This window comes from Homo sapiens, chromosome 2, assembly GCF_000001405.40.
Source record: "Homo sapiens chromosome 2, GRCh38.p14 Primary Assembly".
Lineage (NCBI taxonomy): Eukaryota > Metazoa > Chordata > Mammalia > Primates > Hominidae > Homo > Homo sapiens.
In genome coordinates this window covers 149,037,121-149,062,026 of record NC_000002.12, presented here as the reverse complement: position 1 = coordinate 149,062,026, position 24,906 = coordinate 149,037,121, and the positions used below count along the sequence as shown (strand labels likewise).

The window sequence follows — 24,906 nt, the reverse complement described above, 5'->3', positions numbered from 1 at the left end:
TTTTACTCCAGCCTGGGCAGCAAGAATGAAACTCCATCTCAAAAAAAAAAAAAAGATTCTACGATGTTTCTCCTTCCTATCCCTGAAAAAATGCTCAATTTAATCTTACACTTAATTATTAGGTGTAATTTTAGAGATAATGTTTAACTTTTTAACCTAATAAATAACTATCATTATAAGAAATTTGATGCTTACTTTTATAATGTACTTATATTCTCAAATGTAAAATAGAAAAGTATACCCTATAAGAATGTCTTGCCTGTCCCCATTTCTCTCTTTTCTGTCTGGGAAGAATGGATATGTTTGTCATACAGCATAAGGAATCCAGGGAAAAGGAGGGAGATTATTTTACATGCTGGCAAAAGAATGGTATTTGACTCCTTCCATCACTGCCCCCATCCTCCAAAGCCCCGGGGAATCCAGGAGAACTGAGAGGTAGAGTTGCACACCAATAAATACTAACTGGGCTGCCTCCCCCTGTCCTTTCTCCCAGCATTTGTCTAGGGTGACAACTTGAGAGTCAGGCTTGCCTCACAGGGGGCTACCAGGGAGAAGAAAGAAAACCCCAAGGAATCCACCAAAAATGCAATTCCTTCAATTATATTGGAATAGAGTCACCTAAAAACACATATAAACAGACACATATTTTATTACTAAATCTAAACATTAAGTCTTATAGCAATTTACATTCATGACAAACCATGTTCAAGAATGCACTGCAAGGATCGCTGGAGCCCAGGAGGTCAAGGCTGCAATGAGCTATGATGGCTCCACTGCACTCCATCCTGTGGGACAGAGCAAGACCCTGTCTCAAAAAAAAAAAAAAAATGCACTGCAGCCTGCTAAGTCTGAGAAAGGCTACAGAGCATGCCTGCTGAAACACCTCTGCTCATCTCCAAGCTTTCCATTAAGTATTACTGGAGATACCACCATCCTCACCTCATTCCACAGAGTCTAGATCCAAATCCACACTAGCATATTTTCCCTTCTCTCTCAAAGGCTCTGAAAGCAAGAGAAAGAACACATTTGCTAGGCCCAAAGGTTAAGTTCTAAATGACTGTAGGAAGGTCACTAATTGAAACCAGACCCTTGGGGTACCAAGCATGCCCAAGGTGGGTGTCGAGTGCCCCTCATGGAAGCTCCCTCTGGGAAGCTACAAAGATGCAGATCAGGAGACATTAAATGCAGCCTGTGCCCCATAATGTTGACCCTGATCCTTCACCTCTCCCTGTGCTCCTACCCTTTTGGAAGTGACTCTGTAGCTCCTCCTACTATAGGAGAGCAATATAATTCTGGGCTTTGCTGGGTGGGAGCCTAGACCTTAAGAGGATTGCAAGTTTCCTCTTACCCCTGACAGCTGTACCACTGCCTTGGGAAGCTGCCCTGGGATGCCACTGCCCTCAGCTTGGGTCCCAAACTGCATGTCCAGCCAGGTCTCAGCCAAACCCCAGGAAACTCACAAATGCAGGAGTAATAATAAATAATTGTTGTTTTAAGCCACTGTGTTTTACAGTATTTTTACATGGTATTATTACACCAGTTAACTAATACACAGTGTAGGAGATTGCTCATAGAAAATATGATATGTCCCCTTCCCAGAAAAGGGATAACTAGATTTTTGTATGTGCTGTAGTTATGAGAGGTTTAGGTGAATTTACTTAGTTATTGCTCATAACAACCCTACAAGACAGATAGGATTTTTATCCCTATTTTAAAGATACAGCAGCAGAGACAGTTAAGTAACTTGCCCACAGTTGGAAAGTGGTCAAGGCAGGATTCGAACCCCAGTCACCTGGACCTGGAGCTGTTGCTTGTAACTTCTGTGCTAAATGGCCTTGCAAAGTGCCTAGCCCACCTTGCCTAACCATTTGCTGTGGGTTCCCATGCCCTCTGGATAACATCTGACCTGACCAGCACTAGTAACTAGTGCAGTAGTCAAGGCCCTGCATAGCTCAGTGCCTGATTATCCTGTCCTGACTCCTGCCCCCTCCTCCTCCTCCTTCTCCCTCCCTACCCCTCCCTCAAGGCCTGCTCCGACCATGCTGAGCCTACAGTTTACCAAATCCACCAACTCCCTCACACCTTTGCACCAGCCACTCCTGCCTGAACCACCTTTAGGTCACCTTCTGGGACACAGGCCCAGGGAAAACTTCTGAAGGAACCATTTCCTGTCCCCAGGCAAGTGCACAGGCTGCTTTATTCTGAGTGTTCTCCCAGGCTCCAGAAAGTTCTCTACAGAGCACTAAGGACTCCAGGCTGTGGCTGTCTGCTCAGCTCTTGTCTGAGTAGGATGAAAGCCCCTTGAGAGCATGGCCTAAGACCTGTTCATCTTTCAGCCCAGGGTCAGCAGGGTGCCTGCTCCCATAGTGAGAATGCAGTAAAAACTGGCTACATTAAAAGGCAGGTGAACGGAACAACGCCGTAATGAAGAAATGGATACGGAGACAGGAGATTTGAAATTTCATTTTAAAATAACCAAGTCTTCATTTCTAATAACGTTAATTAAACTGCTCAACACCCCTGGGTCTCCAGCTATATATTCTTCAGTTGGAATCCTTCTTTCGTAACGGTTTCCTCTGCCAAGGCTGATGTGTTCAACAGAATGTCTTGGGACAAGTGACAAAAGGCACTATATTGGCTTGGAACCATGGAAGGAATTGAAGGCCTACTTCCTAAACATTCATTCCTGGCAACGCAAAAGTCCCTGTACTGTGCTTCCAAAGGAAATGGAGGAAAGTGTGTGGCACAGGAATGTACATTATTAAGGAGTGAAAGGAAAAGATTCCCATGACAGGGAACAGAGAGGTAGGGACTTGATATGGGGTCGAAAAGACTTACTTAACAGGAGCTAGCAAGTGACTCATGGGGAGGCCCAACCCTCACTCAGAATCCTGTGCAGCTGACAGGTGGTTATTACTGCCATGCCCTCAGGCTTCCCTCAAAGAGACAGGGCTCCGTGGCCTGGCAATACCTACAGAGAGCTGAACAGGGCACAAGATGGAGACCGTGGCTGCCCTCAAAATCTCACATCTCCAGGCCTCTTACAAGAGACAGATCTCAATCACGAAGCATAAAGGGAACTATATCCAAGAAGAGTGAAATGGACTGGCTGGGCGCTGTGGCTCATGCCTGTAATCCCAGCACTTTGGGAGGCTAGGGCAAGTGGATCACCTGAGGTTAGGAGTTCAAGACCAGCCTGGCCAACATGCTGAAACCCCATGTCTACTAAAAATACAAAAATTAGCTGGGCGTCGTGGCAGACGCCTGCCATCCCAGCTACTAGGGAGGCTGAGGCAGGAGAATCGCTGGAACCTGGGAGGTGGAGGTTGTAGTGAGCTGAGATGACATCACTGCATTCTAGCCTGCGGGACAAGAGCAAAACTCCATCTCAAAAATAAAATAAAATAAAAGAGTGAAATGGACTGTTTCTAGAGTCAGAGGCTGAGACTCCATAAACACAAATTCCTGTCCCAATGACAGCCTCATAATCACTAATGAGCAGTGTTTCTGTTGCTGAAAACACACATTCCTTGCTTGTGTTACCTGAGAAAGATGGGGAGCCCCAGAATAATGGATGCTTCTTGGTCTCTTTTACATTAAGCTTGTACCAAAATGCAGAGTTATAGACAACTGAATGTAAGAATCAGAAGAGATCTTTGAGATCAGGGCACCTAGTAGTTTTCACTTTGTTCAAACAAAAGCTTACAAAAGCATAAATATAGGAGAGGAAACTGAGACTGCTCCCATTGGAGTGTAGGGGCCAGGAACCCCAGTTGTTGGTGCAAGGACAACCTCTGAGATGGCTTGATGGAGGCTTGGGAATTTGGTTGGAAAATCACGCATTTAGTCCAAACCTGCATTTTGCAGATATGAAAACTATGGTTCAGAGGGCCAAGGCAACTCATCCAAGGTAACTCATCCAAGGTCACACAGTCAGAAGGCAGAAGGACCAAGAACAGAACTCAGGTTCCTGGCTGCCAGTCGAAATGCCCTTTCTTCTACATGTTGAATGCCACCCATTTCCTAGGAATGGACCTCCATACTTTCCCTGCCTCGGTCCCCATTAGCAAGTTCCAGGCCACTCTAGGGCTTAGGCTATGGTAAACAGTAACTGAGTAACAATACGTCTTACGGATGCATTCATCACACATCACAGGGAAAGCTCTGCTATGACCACCAATCCCCACCCCAGCTCACCCCTGAAACGGTCAAATAATCAGAGGCTTGCGATGACCTGCAACTTTCTCAGGATCCCCTTTCCACCCCCTTTCCTCTTCTGTTGCATTTCTTACAGCACTGAATTAAAGGACTGCCTGCAATGCTGTAATTCTTCCATTTGCTGGGTTCGCCCCTACACAGTATTTGTGTTTGGTTTTGAAATGCTGTTTGCTCCACTTTTAATTTCCTTTTAGAGAGCTGCAAGAGAGAAGCCAACATTTAATCGTAGGGACTGGAGGGGACTTTACAAACCGCTTACAAGGCAAAAATAGAGTAGTTATTTTCCTATTTCCCTTCTGATTGAATTGGCTGCTGTATCATATGCAGTAAACAATGTGAACCCGAAAGCATTTTTACATCCTTATCTCACCCTTTCATATAATCAAAAGAAAAAAGGCACTGTAATTAAAAAAAAAAAGTGCAGGGCAGGGTCAGGGTGGGAGACTAGAACTTTGTATTTATTTAAAAGTTAATTAAACTTGAAAGGTTTGTGGAGACAATTCATTTTCTTTTGTAGCCTGAGACCATAAGTTTTGCATTCCATTTTGCCAATAGAATAATAAAAAGTAACCTGATGTTATTTTCATCCTAATAATAAATAATATATAATAAAACTAGAATAAAGAGTTTCTTTTTAAATAGAAAAGTAAAAATGAAAATACATGAGTCATACGAGTCTGAATTGACTTATCAAAAAACTACATAAATCATTTTAAGGTATGACCTATGTAATTGCTTTACTTTCACTCTTTTCTGGAAAGATGACTTTGCAGTAAGCACACAGGCTTGACTTTGCAGGCATCCTAGTTAATCCTCTGAATTGACAAATTTTAAATAGATGGGGTATGCTCTTTACAAAGAAAGTTGAACATACAACTAATAAGAACAGGAAGGACCCCCAAAGCTTTTGGGTAACTCAGATGTGGAGTCGGATAACGTACCCTCCTTGTCAGTTCCTGGTCATAAGCATCTATGGACAATGCTGAGTAGTCTTCGCAGGTGAGGAGAAGCAGGAATCCTAGACGAGTCATATTGAAGATGAACGCATGGCTGGTGTTAGATTACCCAAACCAGACACAACAAATGGAGCCAAGAGTGGGCTGTACACAGATTGCCTCCCTACAGAGGATGTTGTATGTATGTGTGTGCATGCATGTATGTGCATGCATGTGTGTAAGATAAAACATTTCAGAGAAATAAGAGTTACTGATGAGAGAGAACAAGAATTGTTAAATAAGGTAAGCAGTTCCTCCTCTTGGAAAATGTGGACTTACTGGAAAAAAAGATTTCCAAGGCTCCAGTTCTACAATTCTTTGATTCTACAAGGTAGAAAGTGAATCTTCCAACAGCACATTGAGACCCCAAAATCCTGATGGTGAAGCCCACATTGGTCACCTGTTTCCTTCTGACAGTGGTTACTCTTTAATGGAAACCACTTGCCAGAATATGAAACTTCCTAATCCCTGTGTGTCTCCCCTCCATGAGCACCCTGGGGACATGGCCTGTGTTTCATTCATCTTTGGGATCCCAGCACAGTACCTGAAGCATACAGTGGGCACCCCAAATTGTGGAAAGGCAGGATAGAAGGCTAGTACTTAAATTTTATTCAAAATATTGAATACTTACATATTGGATAATGTTAGTCAAACTCCTTGGCACCTATGTGTTACATGAATATGTTCTTCAATTAAAATATTTCTTTTCTAGTAGCCATTATGCCAAGCCTCCCTATGCACAGGACAAAGGAAATATTCCCTAGGAGAAATCAGCCCGTACCTCCTGCTCTATCACTCAGATTCTTAAGAGTATAAAAGTGATCATAGAAAAACAGCATAAATCACACTTGCCATCTCACTGATCAGGAATGTCAGACAGAACAAGACAAGGATGTTGCTCTCAGCACTATGTGCTGTCTTTTCTAGCAAAGGCAATTAGGCAAGGAAAAGAAATAAAAGGCATTCAGATTGGAAGAAAGAAGTAATACTACCTCCATTTGGAGATGACATGATCTTGTATGTAGAAAACCCTAATAAATTCACCAGCAAACTGTTAGAGTTAATTGACAAGTTCAGCAAGATTTCAGGATACAAGATCGAAACACAAGAATTAACTGTATTCCTATGCACTACCAATGAACAACCCCAAAATGAAACTGACAATGTCATTACACTGCATCAGAAAAGATAAAGCAGGAATCAATTTAACGAGAGAAGTGCATAACTTGTAAGCAGAAAATTATAAAACATCATTGAAAGGAATGAAAGAAGACCTAAATAACCGGAAAAGCATCCGGTTTTCATGACTGGAAGACTTACATTGTTAAGATGGCAATACTCTTCACATTGATTTACAAAATCAGTGCAACCTCTAGCACAATTCCAGCTGGCCTTTTTGGTAGAAATTAACAAGCTCATCCATGGAAATGGAAGGGACCCAGAATAGCCAAAATAACACCGAACAAGAAGAAAAAAGCTGGAAGACTTATACTTCTCAATTTCAAAACTCTCACAAAGCAACAATAATCAATATTTTGTGGTACTGCCAACAAGGACAGATGCACAAATCAATGGAATAGAATTGAGAATCTAGAAATAAAGCCATGTATTTATGGTCAGTTGACTTTTGACAAGGTTGCCAAAACAATTCAATGGCAGAAAGAACACTCTTGGCAACAAACAGTGCTGGGACAACTGGGAAGCCACATGCAACAGAATAAATGTGGACTCCTAACTCATACTCTATACAGAATTGACTAAAAATAGATCAAATATCTACATGGAAGAGCTGAAATTATAAAATTCTTAGAAGAAACCTATGTGACCTTGGATTAAGCAATGGTTTCTTACATGTGATGCCAAAAGCACAAGCGAAAAAAAGAAAAAAAATAGATAAATAGGACTTCATCGAAACTAAAAACTTTTTTTTTTTTTTAAATAGGGTATCACTCTGTCACTCAGGCTGGAGTGCCATAGTGCAATCATGGCTCACTGCAGTCTCAAACTTCTGGGCTCAAGAGATTCTCCAGCCTCAGCCACCTGGGTAGCTGGAACTGCAGGTGCACGCCACGATGCCCAGCTAATTTTATTTTTTCTTTTTTGTAGAGACAGAATCTGCTGCATTGCCCAAGCTGGTCTTGAATTTCTAATCTCAAGTGATCCTGCCACCTCGGCTTACTCAGGTTACAGGTGTGAGCCACTGCACTGGTCAAAATTAAAACCTTTCGTGTTTCATGTTTCAAAAGATACTACTAAGAGAATGAAAAGACAGCTTACAGAATGCAATAAAATATTTGCAAATCTTATATCCAATAAGGGTCTACTATCCAGAATACGTAAAAACAAGATAATAACTCTAGAATAAAAAGACAAAAAAATCTTAAAATGGCAAAGTATTTAAACAGATATTTCTCCAAAGAAGATATACAAATGGCCAGTAAGCATATCAAAAAATTCCCAACAACATTAGTTATTAGGAAAATGCAAATTAAAACCACAAAGAAATATTACTTCACACCTACCAGAATGACTATGGCAAAAAGATTGACAAAAAAATCATCAGCAAGAATATGGAAAAATTGGAACCCTCATACATTGCTTGTGGGAATGTAAAATGGCACAGCTGCTTTGGAAACAGTCTGGCAACTTCTGAAAGGTTAAACATACAGTTACCATATGATCCAACAATTATACTCCTAATTGTATATGCAAGAGAACTGAAAACATTCCACACAAACACTTATACATGAATGCTTACAGAAGCATTATTTGTAATAGTCAAAAGTGAAAACCACCCAAATGTCCATCAACTGATAAATGGATAAACAAAATGTGGTGTATTCGTACAACGGAATATTATTCAGCCATCAAAAGAATGAAGTACTGGCTTATGTTATAACCTTGAAACCATTATGAACCTCAAACCTTGAAAGCATATGCCAAGTGAAAGAAACCAGACACAAGAGACCACATATTGTAGGATTCTATCTATATGAAATGTCCAGAGCAGGCAAAGGCAAATCCATCAAGACAGAAAGTGGAGTAGTGGTTGCCAGGGAATGGGGGGAGGTGGGAACAGGAAGCAATTGTTAATGGGTATGAGATTTCTTTTTGGAGTGATAAAACCCTCCTGGAATTAGGTAGTGATGATGGTTGCACAACTTTTTAAATATATCAGAAACCACTGAATCGTATACTTTAAAGAGGTACATTTTATGGTACGTGTATTATATCTCAATTAAATAATAACAGTGAGATACTTTCATATACTATTGATGAAAATGTTCAGTGATAGAACTTCTTGGAAGAGAGGTTTGAAAATGGGTATTATATTTGACCCAATAGTTCAAATTTAAGAATTTAACCTCAGTAAATAATTAGGAATGTTACAACTTTAGCTGTAAACACGTTCTCTGCAATGTTGTTTATAGTATCAAAATATTGGAAATATCCTAAAGGTACAATGAAGACTTTGTTAAGCTATTTATGGTACATTCATTCAACAGAATACAATTCGGTCATTAAAATTATGTTTATGATATACTGTTAGCAAGACAAGGAATATAAAAGCACAATGTGCAGTATGATCCTATTTTGTTTTTTTTAACTATGTATCTATCTTACCTCCATATGTATGTATGTATGTACGAATGAAAGGTATCTATCATACCTCCATATTATAGAAATCATAAAACTATTCTGTCCAACACTAGCTGGTAGACACATGCGAATATTTAAATACAAATTAATTAGAATTCATCAAAATTAAAAAATTCAACTCTTCAGTTGCACTTTCCACATGTCAAGTGCTCAATAGCCTCCCAAGAACAGTGGCTACTGTATGGGGTGGCAGACAGCATTTCCATCAAGGCAGAAGCCTCCATTGAAACAAGCCAATAGAGAAGAATGGACACCAAATGGGCTTATGGGGGCTTCTCGTTTTCTTCTCTTTATGTTTATTTTCCCCTTTTTCCATAATAAACATAAATGTTTAGAATAAAAGAACATTGTTATTTTATTTTTTTAAAGAGTCAAGGTAAACTAAAACAGGGAAGAAGGGGACTCAAAAAGCACTCACAGGCATAGTCACCCACTTGGCATGCTGCAAATTGAGCAAGTCCCTTCAATCTGGACAGCAGTGGGGCTGGTGTTCATCATCTCCTTTGCCCAGGCAACACCTCTGCACCCACCGAGCTGTGGTTGGTGGGGAATAGGGAGTAGCCCCAGACAAGACCACAGACTCCCAGTGTCCTTACCTGAAGTTCAGCAATTTTCCACGAATAAATTCTTCTCAGGTTGTTGCATGCCTTTGATAGATTACCAGAGTGATAAAATGGCTGCTTCTGTTCATTTTGTCCAGATTTATAGTAGCTTTCAGGGAAAGAGAACTTGCTGACCTCCTCATTTGGCCATAGCCAGAAGTCCTGACTCCTAACATAGATTTAAAAAATAATAATCCTGGAAAGGCACATGGTTCACACCTGTAATCCCAGCACTTTGGGATGCTGAGGCGGGCGGATCATGAGGTCAGGAGATCGAGACCATCCTGGCCAACATGGTGAACCCCTATCTCTACTAAAAATACAAAAACTAGCTGGGTGTGGTGGGGCGTGCTTGTAATTCCAGCTACTCGGGAGGCTGAGGCAGAAGAATCACTTGAACCCAGGAGGCGGAGGTTGCAGTGAGCCAACACTGTGCCACTGTACTCCAGCCTAGTGACAGAGCGAGACTCCATCTCAAAATAATAATAATAATCCTAGTATTGTATGAGGCTTAGGAGAAAAGGCACTCTCAAATTCCCAGGTGATAAAATAAATTAGTTCATGCTTTCTGGAGGACAACATGGGAAATATATATCCAAAGCCTTAAAAATAATATAGCCCAAAGTGCTGGGATTAGGCGGGCAGATCACTTGAGGTCAGAAGTTCCAGACCAGCCTGGCCAACATGGTGAAACCCTGTCTCTACTAATAATACAAAAATTAGCAGGGCATGGTGGCACATGCCTGAAATCCCAGCTACACAGGAGGCTGAGGTAGGAGAATCGCTTAAACCCAGGAGCAGGAGGTTGCAGTGAGCCAAGATTGCACCACTGCACTTCAGTCTCGGCAACAGAGTGAGACTCCATCTCAAAAATAAATAATAATAATAATATATAGCCCTTTACTCACTTATGTCATTTCTAGAAACTTATTCTATTAAAATAATCATGGGTGTGCTCAGAGATTCAGCTACCAGAATGTATATGACAGAGCTGTTTATAATAGCAAAAAGCTGAATTCTAGCTGAAAGTATAGCAACAGATATACCTTCATGATTAAATACAAAATACATTAAAAATAATGTTGTTGGCCGGGCGCGGTGGCTCACGCCTGTAATCCCAGCACTTTGGGAGGCCGAGGCGGGTGGATCATGAGGTCAGGAGATCGAGACCATCCTGGCTAACGTGGTGAAACCCCATCTCTACTAAAAAATAGAAAAAATTAGCCGGGCGTGGTGGCAGGTGCCTGTAGTCCCAGCTATTCGGGAAGCTGAGCAGGAGAACGGTGTGAACCCAGGAGGCGGAGCTTACAGTGAGCCAAGTTCGTGCCACTGCACTCCAGCCTGGGCAACAGAGCGAGACTCCATCTCAAAAAAAATAATAATAATAATAATATTGTTCAGGGATATTTAATGACATAGAAAATGTTGATAAATGTTATGTTTTAAACATGAGTTGTAATGTGAAAGAGATTTCATTTTTGTAATATATATGTATATGTATAAATATATACATATATGTTTAGAATAAATTATAATGATTAAGATTAAAATGCAAACCGTGACTATTTCTGTGTGGTAGGAAAATATCTGGTTGGGGTGTGAACATGTTATTTTATACATCTTTTATAATGAATATATATCATCTTTGTAATAAGAAAAAAGTTATTGTTTTTAAAAAGTTGAAATCATATTAAGACAGGAAATCTTTGAACTTATAACTTGAAATAAAATTATCACTACAACTGTAGCTCCGGGCTTCCTGGGTGCCAAGGCAAAAAGAGAAATATAAAACAGAGGTGTCCCCTGTTTGACCTACTGGCTCTTCCCAAGAGACAAACTACAATCCCAGCTCCAAATTCTAGGAGAAATGTATAATGCACATTTCTCAGTAACACTAATACCACCTCTGTGGTGCTGGCACAGCAGTGGGTTACTTGCAGCCCTCATCTTTGTTCTAACTTTCCTGTAGTTGCCTAAAAACTGTGGTTCCCATACCTTACTAAAAGACAAATAAAACACACCGTGCCTATTTTTTCGGTAATGTACTTCATTTTCTGTTTTTCACCCTAGTGAAATAGTCCCAAAATGCAGGAGATGTTTTCAACACGATACCAATGATGTAATATCTGGCTTCTGTGCAGTATTTTGATGGTGACGTGGTTTCACAATGAGCAAGAATGCTCAGAAGACTGTCTCCAGGGTGAAATGGATCATGAAGAGCAGTAGATGTAGCATACTTTGAGAATTACATTTCTTAGTAATACAGCTGGTTAAGGGCCCCCGAGAAGAAAAGGTGGACAAAACTAGGCCAGTAACTATCGGTGATTGCTCCAAAACTTGACAGAAGTCACAAAAAGGCAGGTCTTAAATCTACCAGCCTTGAACTGACCCCTTGCAAGCTGAACCTCACTCACCATGACAAGAAATAGAGTCCAGAGCAACATACAAACTACGCTTGTCAGAGTCACAGCCCCTGAAGACTCTGACCTGGGGGCAAGGGGAATATGGGGAGTTGAGTCTAGTACCTTCTGTGTACTTTGCCTATCCTCTGCTATAGAAACAATTCAAATTAGATTTCCCCTTTGTATCTAGCCTACAGATTCTCTTAGCTACTGTGAATCCAAGTCACTCCTAGAGAGAGCCAAGGTGTTGGGAGACTGCTAACATAGCTTTTTCCTCCCTCTGAATCCTCCCCATCCCCAAATACCTTACACTCCATACATATCTGATGCTTACCTTCAAGGCCCCAATCAAGTCTTTCCTGACCACCTGTTTGATCTTTCTTTCATCTGTGACCTCTAAGAGCACTTACTCACAACATAACTTTTTGACACTCACCTTGCATGTCATGTGTCCCCAAACAAGCCATAAGCTCTGAAATCCTGGGCATGTTACCTAGCACCGGCTCTAGTATCTAGCGCATAAAACTGGCCAGGGTAGTGAAGAAGCTGGAAACACTGCTGGAGGAATCAGCTTTACACCAGACACAAGAGCACTCTGAGGTACTAAGGGACCTGTTTTGAAACCTTCCAAAGCTTGTCCACTGGAAGATGGACTGAACGAGTGTTTTTCATACTGTAAGAAGCAACACATTGGTGCATCATGTAATTGATTTAGAGGTACAAGACTTATTGTAAGAGTAACTACTGTTTCATAAAGTGTCACGTGTATGAGAGCATGTGTGTGTGTGTGTGCATGTGCATGCACACATGCTCATATACTGAGTCATGCAAACTAATTTCAAAACAATTTGCAAGGTAGTGAGTTACACAAACTGGTAGATTAGAGAAGGGTACATTTCAATGATGAGAGAGTCATTGAAAGTGAAATGAGAAGAACTCTTAAGTTTTCTCCCCATTCTAAGAGACTATCAGTTTAGATCACAGGCACTGTGTACCACTGAAGGCACATTAGGAGAGAACTGATTCTATAGGGTGGACATAAACAGGCTGAGACTTCATTTGGCCATTTACATTGGAATAACACCTCTGTGAAAGGCAAGGTTGAAAGTGATACTTAGACCAGGAGCTTTCAATGCAGATGAATATCAGACTCACCTGGGGAGCTTATAAACGATATCCATACCTAATCCTGACGTATATTAATTGAAACACTGGGGCCCAAAATCTGTGTTTCCTTTTCATGCTTCCCAAGTAAGGGCTGAGAACCACTGATTTATACATATGAAATGTGTAAATTATATTTGATAAAGCATAAGTGGAAGGGAAACGACACCAGTATTTTACAAGAAGATCACCAAAAGAAAGAGCTTGAAAACATGAAATCAGGGCTTTTGATTTCTGCTCAGGATGTAGAGAACTGAAAAGAACATTATTACCATGCTTACAAAAAATAAAAAGCCAGGTAAAGCACAAGATCATAACCTTCTCAAATCCATGAGAAAACTGAGGCAAAGGAGAACAAACTAGCCCAAAATCTAGAGAGGCACTTGCAGGAAGAGACAAGACATGAGCACTTGTCTACTTGAGGCAGATGTACCTGGACACTGACTAACAAGCATCGGGTCACAAATAACAATGGACTACCACTGGGAGAGTTGAAAGAGCATGGAGACAGACCACTCTGGGGCCCAGTACCACAGGAAGACCAAAAGATGGGAATGGCAAAGGCCTTTGGCAAGCCAGCTCCAACCCTAAATACAAGGCATCACTAGAGGAATTTGAAGTCTGGGGGTACACTGAGAATAACCAGAGGAATGAGAACCCTCAAACCCAGTTCATCTTCTGACTAGATTGATCAATCTTCACACTAAAGGCCTGGTAAAAAGAGAACGGCGTGCCCATTCCCATGCATAAAGCCTATCTCCATATCTAATGTCCTATATAAGATGTCTAGTTATCAACAAAAAAAAATTATAGGGCATGAGAAAAGCAAGAAAAGATCATACTGCGAAAAGACATTGCAATGAATAGAACCAGACCTAGATGCTGAAGCTATCAGACAAAGAATTTTAAATAACCAAAATTAATTATAAAAGTCCGTAGTGGAAAGGGTAGACAATCTGAAAGATTAAATGGAAAATGTTATCAGAGAGAAAAACTGCAGGAAAGAATCAAATGGAAATATTTGAAAGGCTAAAGACAGTAACAAATAAAGGATGCTTTCAACAGGCATTCTTCAGTGGACTTGATACAGCAAAGGAAAAAATCATTGAACTTGAAAATAGATCAGTAGAAATTACCCAAACTAAATAAGAAGAGAAAAAACATGAATAAAACAAGCAAAAAACGAATGGAGTGCCCAAGAGCTGTGGGACTGTATCATAAATTCAAACCTAGGTGTAACTGAAATTTCAGGAGAAAAGAAAGAAAATAGGCAGAAGAAATATTTGAAAAAATAATTGCTGAGAATTTTCCAAAATTAATGACAGATACCAAATCACAGATCCAAGGAGCTCAAGAACATCAGGTATGATAAATATCAAGAGTGTGCACGCATGCATACATGTACACACACACACACACACTCCCAGGCATATCATATTCAAAGAGCTGAAAACCAAAGACAAAAATAAAATCTTGAAAGCAGCAAAAGAAAAATGAAACATCAAATGAAAAGGAACAAAGATAGGAATTACAGAAGACTTCTTGTCAGAGGCATACAAGAAGAGAATGAAGCAACATTTTTAAAGTCCTGAATTTTTTTTTTAAATTGTCAACCCATTGCTTCTCAGCCTTTTAGCTAAGATCAAGCGTAAAAACTGTCAACCCAGAATTTTATACCCAGTAAAATATCTCCCAAAGATGCAGGAAAAATAGAAATCAAAGAGAAACAAAAACTTAGAATTCATTGCCAGGAGACCTACACTACAACAAATGTTAAATTAAGTTATCCAGGCGTTGCCAGACCAAAACTTGGATCTACACAAAGAAAACAATGATGGAAATGATATAAATGAAAATCAAACAAAATTATTTTTTCTCTTAATTTTAATTGCTATAAAAGATAACTGAATGTCTAAAGCAGGAGTAAGCAAACTATAACCTACAAGCCAAACCTAGCCCCTGGTCTGTTTTAGCATAACCAATGAACTAAGAATGTTTTTTGAAATACATTTGTAAAGAATTGTTTAAGAATAAAAGTATATGCAACAGAGACCATCTATGGCCTCAAAGCCTAAAATAATTACTTTCTGGCTTTTTTACAGAAAAAGTTTGTTGACCCCTGGTCTAAAGCAAAAAATCTTTTATTTATAGCTGATATTAAAAAATGATAATAACAATAGCACAAAACATAAAAGAGAAGTACTGTAAATATACTGCTATAAGACTACAAATGAAACAGTATAATACTACTTGAAAGTAGACTCTAATTAATTAAAGATACATATTATTAACTCTAGAGCAATCACTAAAAAAATGTAAAGAGGCATAGGTAAGAAGTCCATAGTGGAGATAAGGAAAATATAAAAAAATGCTCAAGACCAGGAGGTCGAGGGTACAGTAAGCCAAGATTGCGCCACTGTACTCTGGCCTGGGTGACAGAGCGGGACCCCATCTCAAAAAACAAAATAAACAACAACAACAACAAAAAAAGCTCAAGAAACAAGAAAAAAAAAGAACAGATAGAACAAATAGAAAACAACTAGCAAGATGGTAGATTATAATTAAGCCATATCAATAGCATAGCAAGTGTAAATGGTCTAACATACCAGTTAACAGACAGATATTGTCAGATTAGTTGAAAAAATAAGACTCAAGTATATGTTGCCACAAGAAAGCCACCTTAAGTATACAGGTTATTTTATAACCTAAATATAGGTTAAAAGTAAAAGAACACAAAAAGATATACAATGCAAACATTAATCCAAAAAAAGCTGGAGTATCTGTATTATTAACACCCAAAGCAGACTACAGAAAAAGGAATATTAACAGAAATACAGAGGGACATCACATAATAAGAAAGGGATCAAGATGTTCTCCAAGAGGACATCACAACCCTAAATGTGTATGCACTTAACAACATAGAGTCAAAATACATGAAGTAAGAAGTGATATGAGTAAAAAGAAAAATAGATACATCCACAATTGTAACTGGAAATGCTAACATTCCTCTCTTGGTTATAGAGAAAACAAGCAGAAAATTAATAAGAACACAGAAGACCTGAACAACCCTATCAAGCAACTTGACCTAATTGATATTTCTGGAACATCCCACCCATCAATAGCAGAATACACATATTTTCAAGTGTGCATTGAAATTCACCAAGATAAACCACATTCTGGGTCATAAAACAAATATGAACAAATCTAAAAGAACAGAAATCATGCAAGTCATATTCTAGGATAATAAAAGATTTAAACTAGAAATCAATAACAGAAAAACTTCTAGAAAATCCCCAAATATCTTAAAATTAAATGATATACTTTAAAATAACATACGGGTCAATAAGTAGTCTCAAAAGAAATGTTAAAATATTTAAACTAAGTGAAAATTCAAATATACATTTCAAAATTGTATAATGCAGCTAAAGCAAGGCCTAGAGGGAAATGTATAGCATTAAATACTTCTATTAAAACAAAAATCAGTAATATAAGCTTATCCCTTAAAAAATAGAAGAGTACATTAAACCTAAGCAAAGACAAGGAAGGCAATAATAAAATAAGAGCAGAAATCAATTAAATTGAAAACAGAAAAATAATAGACAAAATTAAACCAAAATCTGGATCTTTGAAGAGATCAGTAAAATTGATAAACCTCTAGACAGACTGAGCAAGAAAAAGACTGAAGACATAAGTTAATAATGTCAAGAATAAAAGAGGGAGTATTATTACTGACCATTCAGACATAAATGGCTAATAAAAGAACACCACAAAAAATTCTGTATCAATGAATTTGACAACTTAGGTGAAGTGGACTGAATCTTTGAAAGATAGAAACTAACAAAACTTATCAAGAAGAAATAGATAATCTGAATAGTCCTATATCTATTTATAAAATTAAATTTGTGTTAAAAACCTTCCAACAAAGAAAACTCTAGGACCAAATGGTTTCACTAGAGAATTCTACCAAACACTGAAGGAATAAATAATACCAATCTACCTAGTCCCCTCCAAAAATACATTACAACCAAGTGGAATTTATCCAGAGAATGTAAGTCTGGTTCAACATTTGAAAATCAATCAGTGCAATTCACCATATTAAATATTAAGAAAACTCATATGGTTCTGTCAGTTGATGGTAAAAAAAGCATTCAATAAAATTCAAAATCCACCCATAATTTTAAAAAACACTGTCAATAAACTAGGAGTACAAAGGAAATTTCTTAACATCATATTGTATCTACAAGAAACCTCAACTAACATCATACTTAACAGTGAAAGATTTATTGCTGCCTGCTCCATGATAAGAAACAAAGTAAGGATGTTCTCTCTTATCACTGCTATTCAACATTGTACTGCAATTCTTAGCCAGTGCAATAAGTTGGAGGAAGAGAAGGAGGGAGGGAGGAAAGAAAGACACGGCATTTAGGTTAGAAAGGAAAAATAAAACTGTCTCTATTCACAGATAATATGATTGTCTATGTAGAAAATTCCAAAGAATCTACAAAGGACCCACCTAAAACAGATGAGTAACTTTAGCAAGGCCACAGAATACAATACCAACACACAAAAATAAATTCTATTTCTATATACCAGCAACAACAGCAATCCCCAAAATGAAATACCTAAGTATAAATCTAACAAAATATGTGCAAGATCTATATCCTGAAAACTACAGAGTGCTGATGGAAGAAATCAAAGACTTAAATAAATGGATGGTTATACCCTGCTCATGAACTAGAAAACTCAATAATGTAAAGATGTCAATTCTTCCTAAATTAATCTGTAGATTTAATACAATTCCATTCAAAATCCTAGGAGGATTTTTTTGTAGATATTGACAAACTAATTCTAGAATTCATATGGAAAGGCAAAAGAACTAAAAGAGTCATAGCAATTTTGAAAAAGAATAAAGTTGGAGGGCCTACACTATGTGCTTCCAAAATGTATTCTAAAGCCACAATAATCAAGATACTGTAGTGTTGGCATGAAGTAAGCATACAGATCAATGGAACTGAATTGAGAGTCTAGTAATAAACCCTTACATTTTAGCTAATTGATTAGTGACAAAAGCTCTAAGACAATTCAAGGGAAGAAAGGACAGTCATTTCAACAAATGGTGCTGGAACATTTGGACTCCCACATACCAAAAAGAAAATACCTTTGACTCATACTTTATCCCTTATACAAAAATTAAAGTAAAATGGATCATAGACCTAAGTGTAAAACATAAAACATGAAACTTCTAGAAGAAAATAGAAATGTTCAAGACTTTTTGGTTAGTTAGAGAATTCCTCAATACAACAATAAAAGTTGGATGTATTAAAAAATCGATAAACTGGTTTATCAAAATTAAAACTTTTGCTCTGAGAAGACATTGTTAAGGGAATAAAAATGACAAGGCAGTCGCTGGGAGAAGTAATTTACAAATTACATTTCTGACACAAGACTTATATCCAAATTATTGTACTGAACAACAAGAAAACTCAATAAAAGCAAGTAGTTAAAATTACCTCTGCAAAACACTTCAACACTTTAAAATTTTATTTGCGTTTCTGTTTTTTCCAGGCAGTAATGGGTCCAAACATAACCTCTCATCAATTTGTATCTGTAGCATATTATTTAACTTTGGAATTGGACTTTTGATCTGTTAACTTTTGGTGTACTTTATATTGACCCAAAAGAAGTTAGTTTTCTTTGAATTCAGGAGATAAATTTCATACAAGTCCTTAGTAAAGAGACCACTTTTTCTATCAAATAAAATTGATTCTTTAAACACCAAAAGAAAGTACAAGTTCCTGAGGCATCAAAATTTATTTTCTCTTCTTTTAAATAATGAACCCTGAGCATGAATCACCACATTTGTAACCACCGTATTTCTTCCTTTCCCTGCTACCAAAACTAAACAATTCTGGAACATAATGATGAAAGAAATGACCCTTATTTTCCCTTTGCTCATGTTTCTACATTTATTTCTCATGACCTGGTACCATGTTTTTGTAAGTCATTATAAATCATATTTAGGAACAATGTGAGTTATAACAAACAATCAAAGAAATTCTGCATGAAAGAAATCCTATAAAATTGAGTTATTTAACATTTAACTGTCTTTTTCCACATGAACACCTGTCCTTTTTGCCCAAAACCCTACCTGCTTAGACCATATAGCTCTGCTGGAAACAAGAGAGAATAAGCCATGATTTCCAGCACTATATCCAGTTTGTTTCTAATGACTGCACTCTTGTCTGGATCTATTTTATTTTTTATTTCTGTACTTCTCACCGCCTGACTTATTAGACAAAACATAAATAAATGTCTCCATCTAGTAGACTGTAAGCTCCAATCCCCAGCACCTAGAACAGTGTCTGGCACACAGTAGATGCTCAATAAATATTTGTGAAATAAATGACTGCCCAAGGCATTTCTCTCTACCTCATTCCCTCACATTCTTCCAGTGATCCTGGCCAGCCCATGGCAGTATTGTTGCTGAAAACAGGAAAATATGCTGCCCTCCACTTCTGCTTTCTTCCAGCATTAGTGATCATGTCTTTTTGCCAATTTCTTTGCTAACTAGATATTGAGGATAGAGGATCATGAGAAGCGGCATCCTTGGTTGCCCAATCTGATTCCAAAAGTCCAGCACCAATGTCCACCAATGTCTACCATATAAAGCAGAAACAAAGTGCAGCACTCACTTCACATTTCAGATGAAAATAGGATACATGATTTCAAAGCAGTTCATGGTAGAGGCTGGTTTCCTACTAAATGCAACTACCAAAGTTATCGCTCTTTGGACTTAGCATCAGGAGAATTGTTTACTAGTCCAGGATCTACCATTAATTGCATCTTCACCAAGTCCCAGCCTGTTAGTTTGAAGACAGTTAACAATACTGAAACAAAGTCATGATTTAGAGCAACTAAGTGTTCTCAAGAGAGGGACAGGGAGTTTCCGGGGAAGGTAGGCAGTGGGTGCCCAGCAAAATCATATGTGAGGCTTTTCAAACTACACAGGGTTTGAAACTCTTCTGAAACTCCTCCACCCCAATCCACCCCTTGAGAATTGCCACCATAGAGTGAGCCACTGTTGCTATTACTATTGGGAGTATGGAAAACTCAGAGAAGCTTTTCCAGGTTTCAGGTGTAAGCTTGTTGAGGAATTGGACCAAGATTTACTATGCTTCTTAGTGACATCCATGGAATCTAATACAGGGTAGTCCTGTCTTTACTTACTTTTCCAACCTCAGCTCCTTTCCTCCCCTCAGCCACACCCTAGGCATCTCCCATGGTATTGGACTTCTGATTACCAATCTGTGCCAGACCTTGCATCACCTGTCCCCACCTCTGGGAGACACAGTTTGTTGCCTACCTAACAGCCCAACAGGCAGTCTCACTTTCCTCCTTGCTAACAGAATTCTGATTGTGTTCAGACATGGAGCATGGATGCTCAGGTAGGTGAGCCCCTCCTACAGCTCCGGAAAATAGCTTGGGCAAAACAATCATGGGCCCCTCTTCTCCTTTGCCAATGACTGGTTTCAGGGTAAGCGTTAGACCACTTTGGCCAGTGACGCGGGGAACTTCGGGGAAAATTTGTCCTTTATTATCTAGAGAAAGATTAAGCAGCAAGCCCCGGCCTTCTTTTTTCTGCTTTGGATGTTGTCATGTGAAGGCATGATGGAGCTCTAGTCACCCTGGAAAAAGAAGATAATTTTCTAGAAGCCACCAAAGAGCTGTGGCCACTTCGAACGACCTACCTTCAGATGTTCTAAGCAAGAAAGTAGAGTAACCTAAACATATTACAACAAAAAGTGTCCCTCTGGAATCCTACCACATGGCCTAGAATTTTTCTCCTAGACCAGCCCTTCTCATTTTCTTTTTTTTTTTTTTTTTTTTGAGACGGAGTCTTGCTCTGCTGCCCAGGCTGGAGCTCATTTTCAATTCAAAGCTCAACTACAGTTTCTTTGGGGAGTCTTCACTACGTCCCCAGACAGATGAGTCCTAGACGATGTTATCCTCATATCTGTCTTTCCAACTAGACTGTGAGCTTCTCAAAAGCAAGCATTTTCGCCCTTGGCAGAGGCCCTGGCATATGTTGAGCATTTATTATATGTCGAATGAATGAATAAACAAAAAACAATGAATGAAAAGATGGACACACAGGATGCCCTCCATGCATTAGATGAAGACTTGACTGATGGAATACGGCCCTCAGGCTGTCTACATTCTACTGCAGACTACCTTTAGGCGCTGGTGAGCAAAGACAGAGATAGTAAAATGAACATGTCCTGTTTTGTCAGACTTCTCATTGGGAATTGCGCCCCCTACCGACATGCCTTGCAGCAGAGGTGGGCCAGTCTATCAATCACAGTCGGTCATGTGCCCATTCCTGTTGTGTAAACCTCTCCCTGTCTGCTGAGATGGCTTGGTTCTGTTTTGGTCCAGTATGTCAATAAGATTGCTATAAGGGGCCGGGTGCAGTGGCTCACTCCTATAATCCCAGCACTTTGGGAGGCCAAGACGGGCAGATCACTTGAGGTTAGGAGTTCGAGACCAGCCTGGCCAACATGGTGAAACCTCATCTCCACTAAAAATACAAAAATTAGTCCCACGTGGTGGCCGGCGCCTGTAACTCCAGCTACTTGGGAGGCTGAGGCAGGATAATCGCTTGGACCTGGGAGGTGGAGGTTGCATGCAGTGAGCCGAGATCACACCACTGCACTCCAGCCTGGGTGACAGAGTGAGAGTCTGTCTCAAAAGAAAAAAAAAAAAAGAGAGAGAGAGAGAGAGACAGAGAGAGACTGCTATACGGATAGAGAAGATGGGATTCTCTCTCTCCCTCTTTGTCTCTGTCTCTCTCTCTGAAGGAGCAGATAAGCCTGAAGGTGCAAGTCCTATTTATCGTCCATACTAAGAACCAGTAAACACAGAGAGAAAAACAGCTAAGATATACAAGAGAGAGAACTAGCCCTGGAACCTTGTATGAGCCTCTGGAACTAGCTATAGCTTTAAACTGAAACCCTCGACCTTTTCATTTATGTGACCCAATCAATTTCTACATAGTATAAGGCAATTTTCAAGTGACCAAAACCCAACCCAAAGAAAACAATTCTGACAAATACGATGGGTAATGATGAGGGCAGTCTGACAACACCCCCTCCATCTGCAGGGCCCGTGCACTGGCAGCCCTAATCTTGGCCTCTGTGATGCTGTCAGCAAGTAAGGCATCCTGGAGGAAGCCTAACCATGAACAAGTCAGGGTGGGAAAGAATGCCCCCACCCCACAACACACACATCACCACATCAACACAAAGGGGGAAAAATCAAGCAGTATGCTATGTACTCCATGAACATCATATAACCTAAGTCTGTTGTAATGATTATAATATTAATAATACCTATTTTACTTTAAGGGAACTGAGGCTCAGAGCAGTTCAGTAACTTGCCCAAGGTCACACAGCTAGTTACTGGAATTTAAATAGCATTCTAGACTTTTCCCACTCTCTGATCCCCTGGCCTTGGGAGGTGGACAGCACCCCTCCACCCACCAGCTCCCCCCAAACGCCACAGGGCATACAGACCTGAAGCCTCACAACCCAAGCCCCCTGGAGTCAGAGCAGCCTCCAGACCCGGCTTTTGAGAAGCCCCAGGTAACTAACCAATGTGTAAGGTAGGTTATTCAACAACAAAAGTAAAGAGCCGGGGCAAGGGAAGCGGCGGCACCCAAGCTGGTCGCGCGTGAAGCGCTGCAGGGGGAAACACTGGAGCTGGCACGCTCGCTCTTGGCCCCACGATCGGCCTTGAACCCCAGCCCCAGCTCCGCGCTCTCTCCAGCAGTTTGACCCCCAGTATCTCCTCTCCCCTCGGCTCTGCCGAAGTCACTGGCCCCGCAGGGCTCTGGACGATTAGAGACCCACACCGCTCCAGCCTTGCCCCGGCCCCCTGCTCCCGTCCCGTCCAGATGTTGGCAGCTGCTCGCCTCGAGGCAGCGACCAGACCCCGACCCCGCCACTGCGCCGCGGCCCCGCGGCCCCGCGGCCCCGCGGCCCCGCGAGCTCCTGGCTGCCCCAGCGCGCCCAGAAGGGGCGCAGCGCATCTCCCGCCGCAGTCGCGCGGCCCCGCACTCGCTCCGGCGCGGGGTGAGCCGTCCCGAACCCACCACCGCCCCCGCCTGCTGCGCTGGCCCAGCTCACCTCGCCGCCCGCGCCCACCGAGCCTCTCGGCGCCCTCACCCGGCTCCCGGCCCAGGCTCCCAGCGCACCCGCCTGGGGCCGGCGTTGGCTGCTACCGCGCGGGGCGGGGCGCGGCTCCTCCCTGCCCTGAACCACCTGGGGCGCGGGAGGGGGCCGGGCCGGGACAGGTGAGCCTCGCCCGCGAGGGAGCAGCCCCGGGCCCGGCTCCGCTGGGAAACCGCAGGGCTCCACCACGAGGTTGAAAGGAGGCCCAGGCGGGCGGCAGTGTGGTAGTGGCCAGCGCTGGGGAGGCGGCAAGGAGCCTGTTCCCACCCAGCCAGCCCGGCTCAGGAAGTGAAAGAAGCACGGGATTCGGACCCCACCCAGCTTAAAGAGGGGAGGGTCCAACCCCTTTCTTCCTAGAAAACCAATGTAGAAACGAGGAGTGCAGACCCTCGGGAGTGAAAATGATTGGGCCAAGGGTGCAGGTGAGTTAGTTCAGGATTGGAAGAACTCTGAAAGACCTTTTTTGACCATTCCATCCAACCCCGTCCCCACCTTGCCCACCCGTCAAGTGATTCCCTCCCCCTTTTTAAATAATGACATTAAGCTATAAATAAGATAATTTCATATAGTGACGTCCTCCCCACCCCTGGACGGTAAGCCCCAGGAGAGGCAGGAACCTTACCCGTCCACTACTGAATCACCAGAGCTTTGAAAACTCAGGGCATTTAATACCTGATGAACAGACTAGGTGGCGCCCAGTCTTTTGCGTCCAGCGTTAGACTGGTCCCCTCGGCCCAGAGCTGCTCCAGCATCATTCCAAGCTTACTAGGGAGAATCCAGAGGCAAGCTGTTAGATTCCGGGCCACCTGTCCTCTCTCTACTGCTTACTCCCCACCCACTGCCAGCCAGGCAGCTGGGATGTGGGAGGTCTACACTCCCAGGGCACCTTATAGTGGTCAAGCAAATCTTTAACTTCTGAAGATGCCACAGACAGGAGAACTCTGAAATAAAACACTGTCCGGCCAGCCTTGCACTGTGGAAACACAGCTCAGAGTATGGGCCACTGACCCAAGATTCCATGGCTGGTAGCAAAGCTGATCCTGGGTCTGCATTTCTAAAGACAGTTGGCTGGTCTGGGGCCTTTGAGGGGCTGCTGGTTATGCCTGCAGTGGGGAAACCTGGGTACAGAACTTCTGCAGAAGTGGGGTCTGGGTTTGGTCCTCTGCTGAGACTTCTAATCTGTCTTTCCAGACCTCTGAGGTCAAGCATCTCCTGAGCCAGCTTGCATTTATTGAGGCCCCTGACAACCGCAAAAACAAAAACAATGGTATTTTTAGGTGTTCCATTTAACAAATGGCCTTCACTCACACACACACACACACACACACACACACACACACACACACACGAGGTAATGTGTCATGCTGCTCCTCACATGTTAATTTCAAGACTCGTTAAAAAAATCCATTCCGTGAAAAAATTCATTTCACTGCAGAAAGCACTGTACAACTTTAAAGTTGTATGGAGAACATTCCTTCTTATGACTATTTCAGTACACTTCCGTGACTATATATTAAACCTCCAAGGCCAAAATGGGAGGATCTCTATTAAGGTGAGGTCAGGGCCAAGAAGACTGCTCCACCCCTCCACTGACAACAAGCCCAACACTCTTAAGGTCTAGACACCCCACCCCTTC

At 41.1% G+C, this 24,906-nt stretch overlaps 1 protein-coding gene across 16 annotated transcripts in view, besides 6 other annotated features; it reads right to left on the bottom strand.

Moving 5' to 3' along the window:
• Positions 1–23,328, bottom strand: part of LYPD6B (LY6/PLAUR domain containing 6B) — a 176,564-nt gene extending 153,236 nt beyond the window's left edge. For all 16 annotated transcript variants that reach the window (XM_047443412.1, XM_017003366.2, XM_047443404.1 and 13 more), the window contains exon 1: positions 23,226–23,328. The gene's annotated coding sequence lies outside the window, so the exon portion shown is untranslated. The remainder of the gene's footprint in view (positions 1–23,225) is intronic.
• Positions 12,566–12,775: an enhancer, noted in NCBI's record as "active region_16625". NCBI's record gives its function as "activates an Ori minimal core promoter by ATAC-STARR-seq in GM12878 lymphoblastoid cells {active_cell/tissue: GM12878}" and the evidence as "EXISTENCE:reporter gene assay evidence [ECO:0000049][PMID:35858748]".
• Positions 22,836–22,895: an enhancer, noted in NCBI's record as "active region_16624". NCBI's record gives its function as "activates an Ori minimal core promoter by ATAC-STARR-seq in GM12878 lymphoblastoid cells {active_cell/tissue: GM12878}" and the evidence as "EXISTENCE:reporter gene assay evidence [ECO:0000049][PMID:35858748]".
• Positions 22,936–22,985: an enhancer, noted in NCBI's record as "active region_16623". NCBI's record gives its function as "activates an Ori minimal core promoter by ATAC-STARR-seq in GM12878 lymphoblastoid cells {active_cell/tissue: GM12878}" and the evidence as "EXISTENCE:reporter gene assay evidence [ECO:0000049][PMID:35858748]".
• Positions 23,066–23,225: a silencer, noted in NCBI's record as "silent region_12003". NCBI's record gives its function as "represses an Ori minimal core promoter by ATAC-STARR-seq in GM12878 lymphoblastoid cells {active_cell/tissue: GM12878}" and the evidence as "EXISTENCE:reporter gene assay evidence [ECO:0000049][PMID:35858748]".
• Positions 23,236–23,575: a silencer, noted in NCBI's record as "silent region_12002". NCBI's record gives its function as "represses an Ori minimal core promoter by ATAC-STARR-seq in GM12878 lymphoblastoid cells {active_cell/tissue: GM12878}" and the evidence as "EXISTENCE:reporter gene assay evidence [ECO:0000049][PMID:35858748]".
• Positions 24,199–24,258: an enhancer, noted in NCBI's record as "active region_16622". NCBI's record gives its function as "activates an Ori minimal core promoter by ATAC-STARR-seq in GM12878 lymphoblastoid cells {active_cell/tissue: GM12878}" and the evidence as "EXISTENCE:reporter gene assay evidence [ECO:0000049][PMID:35858748]".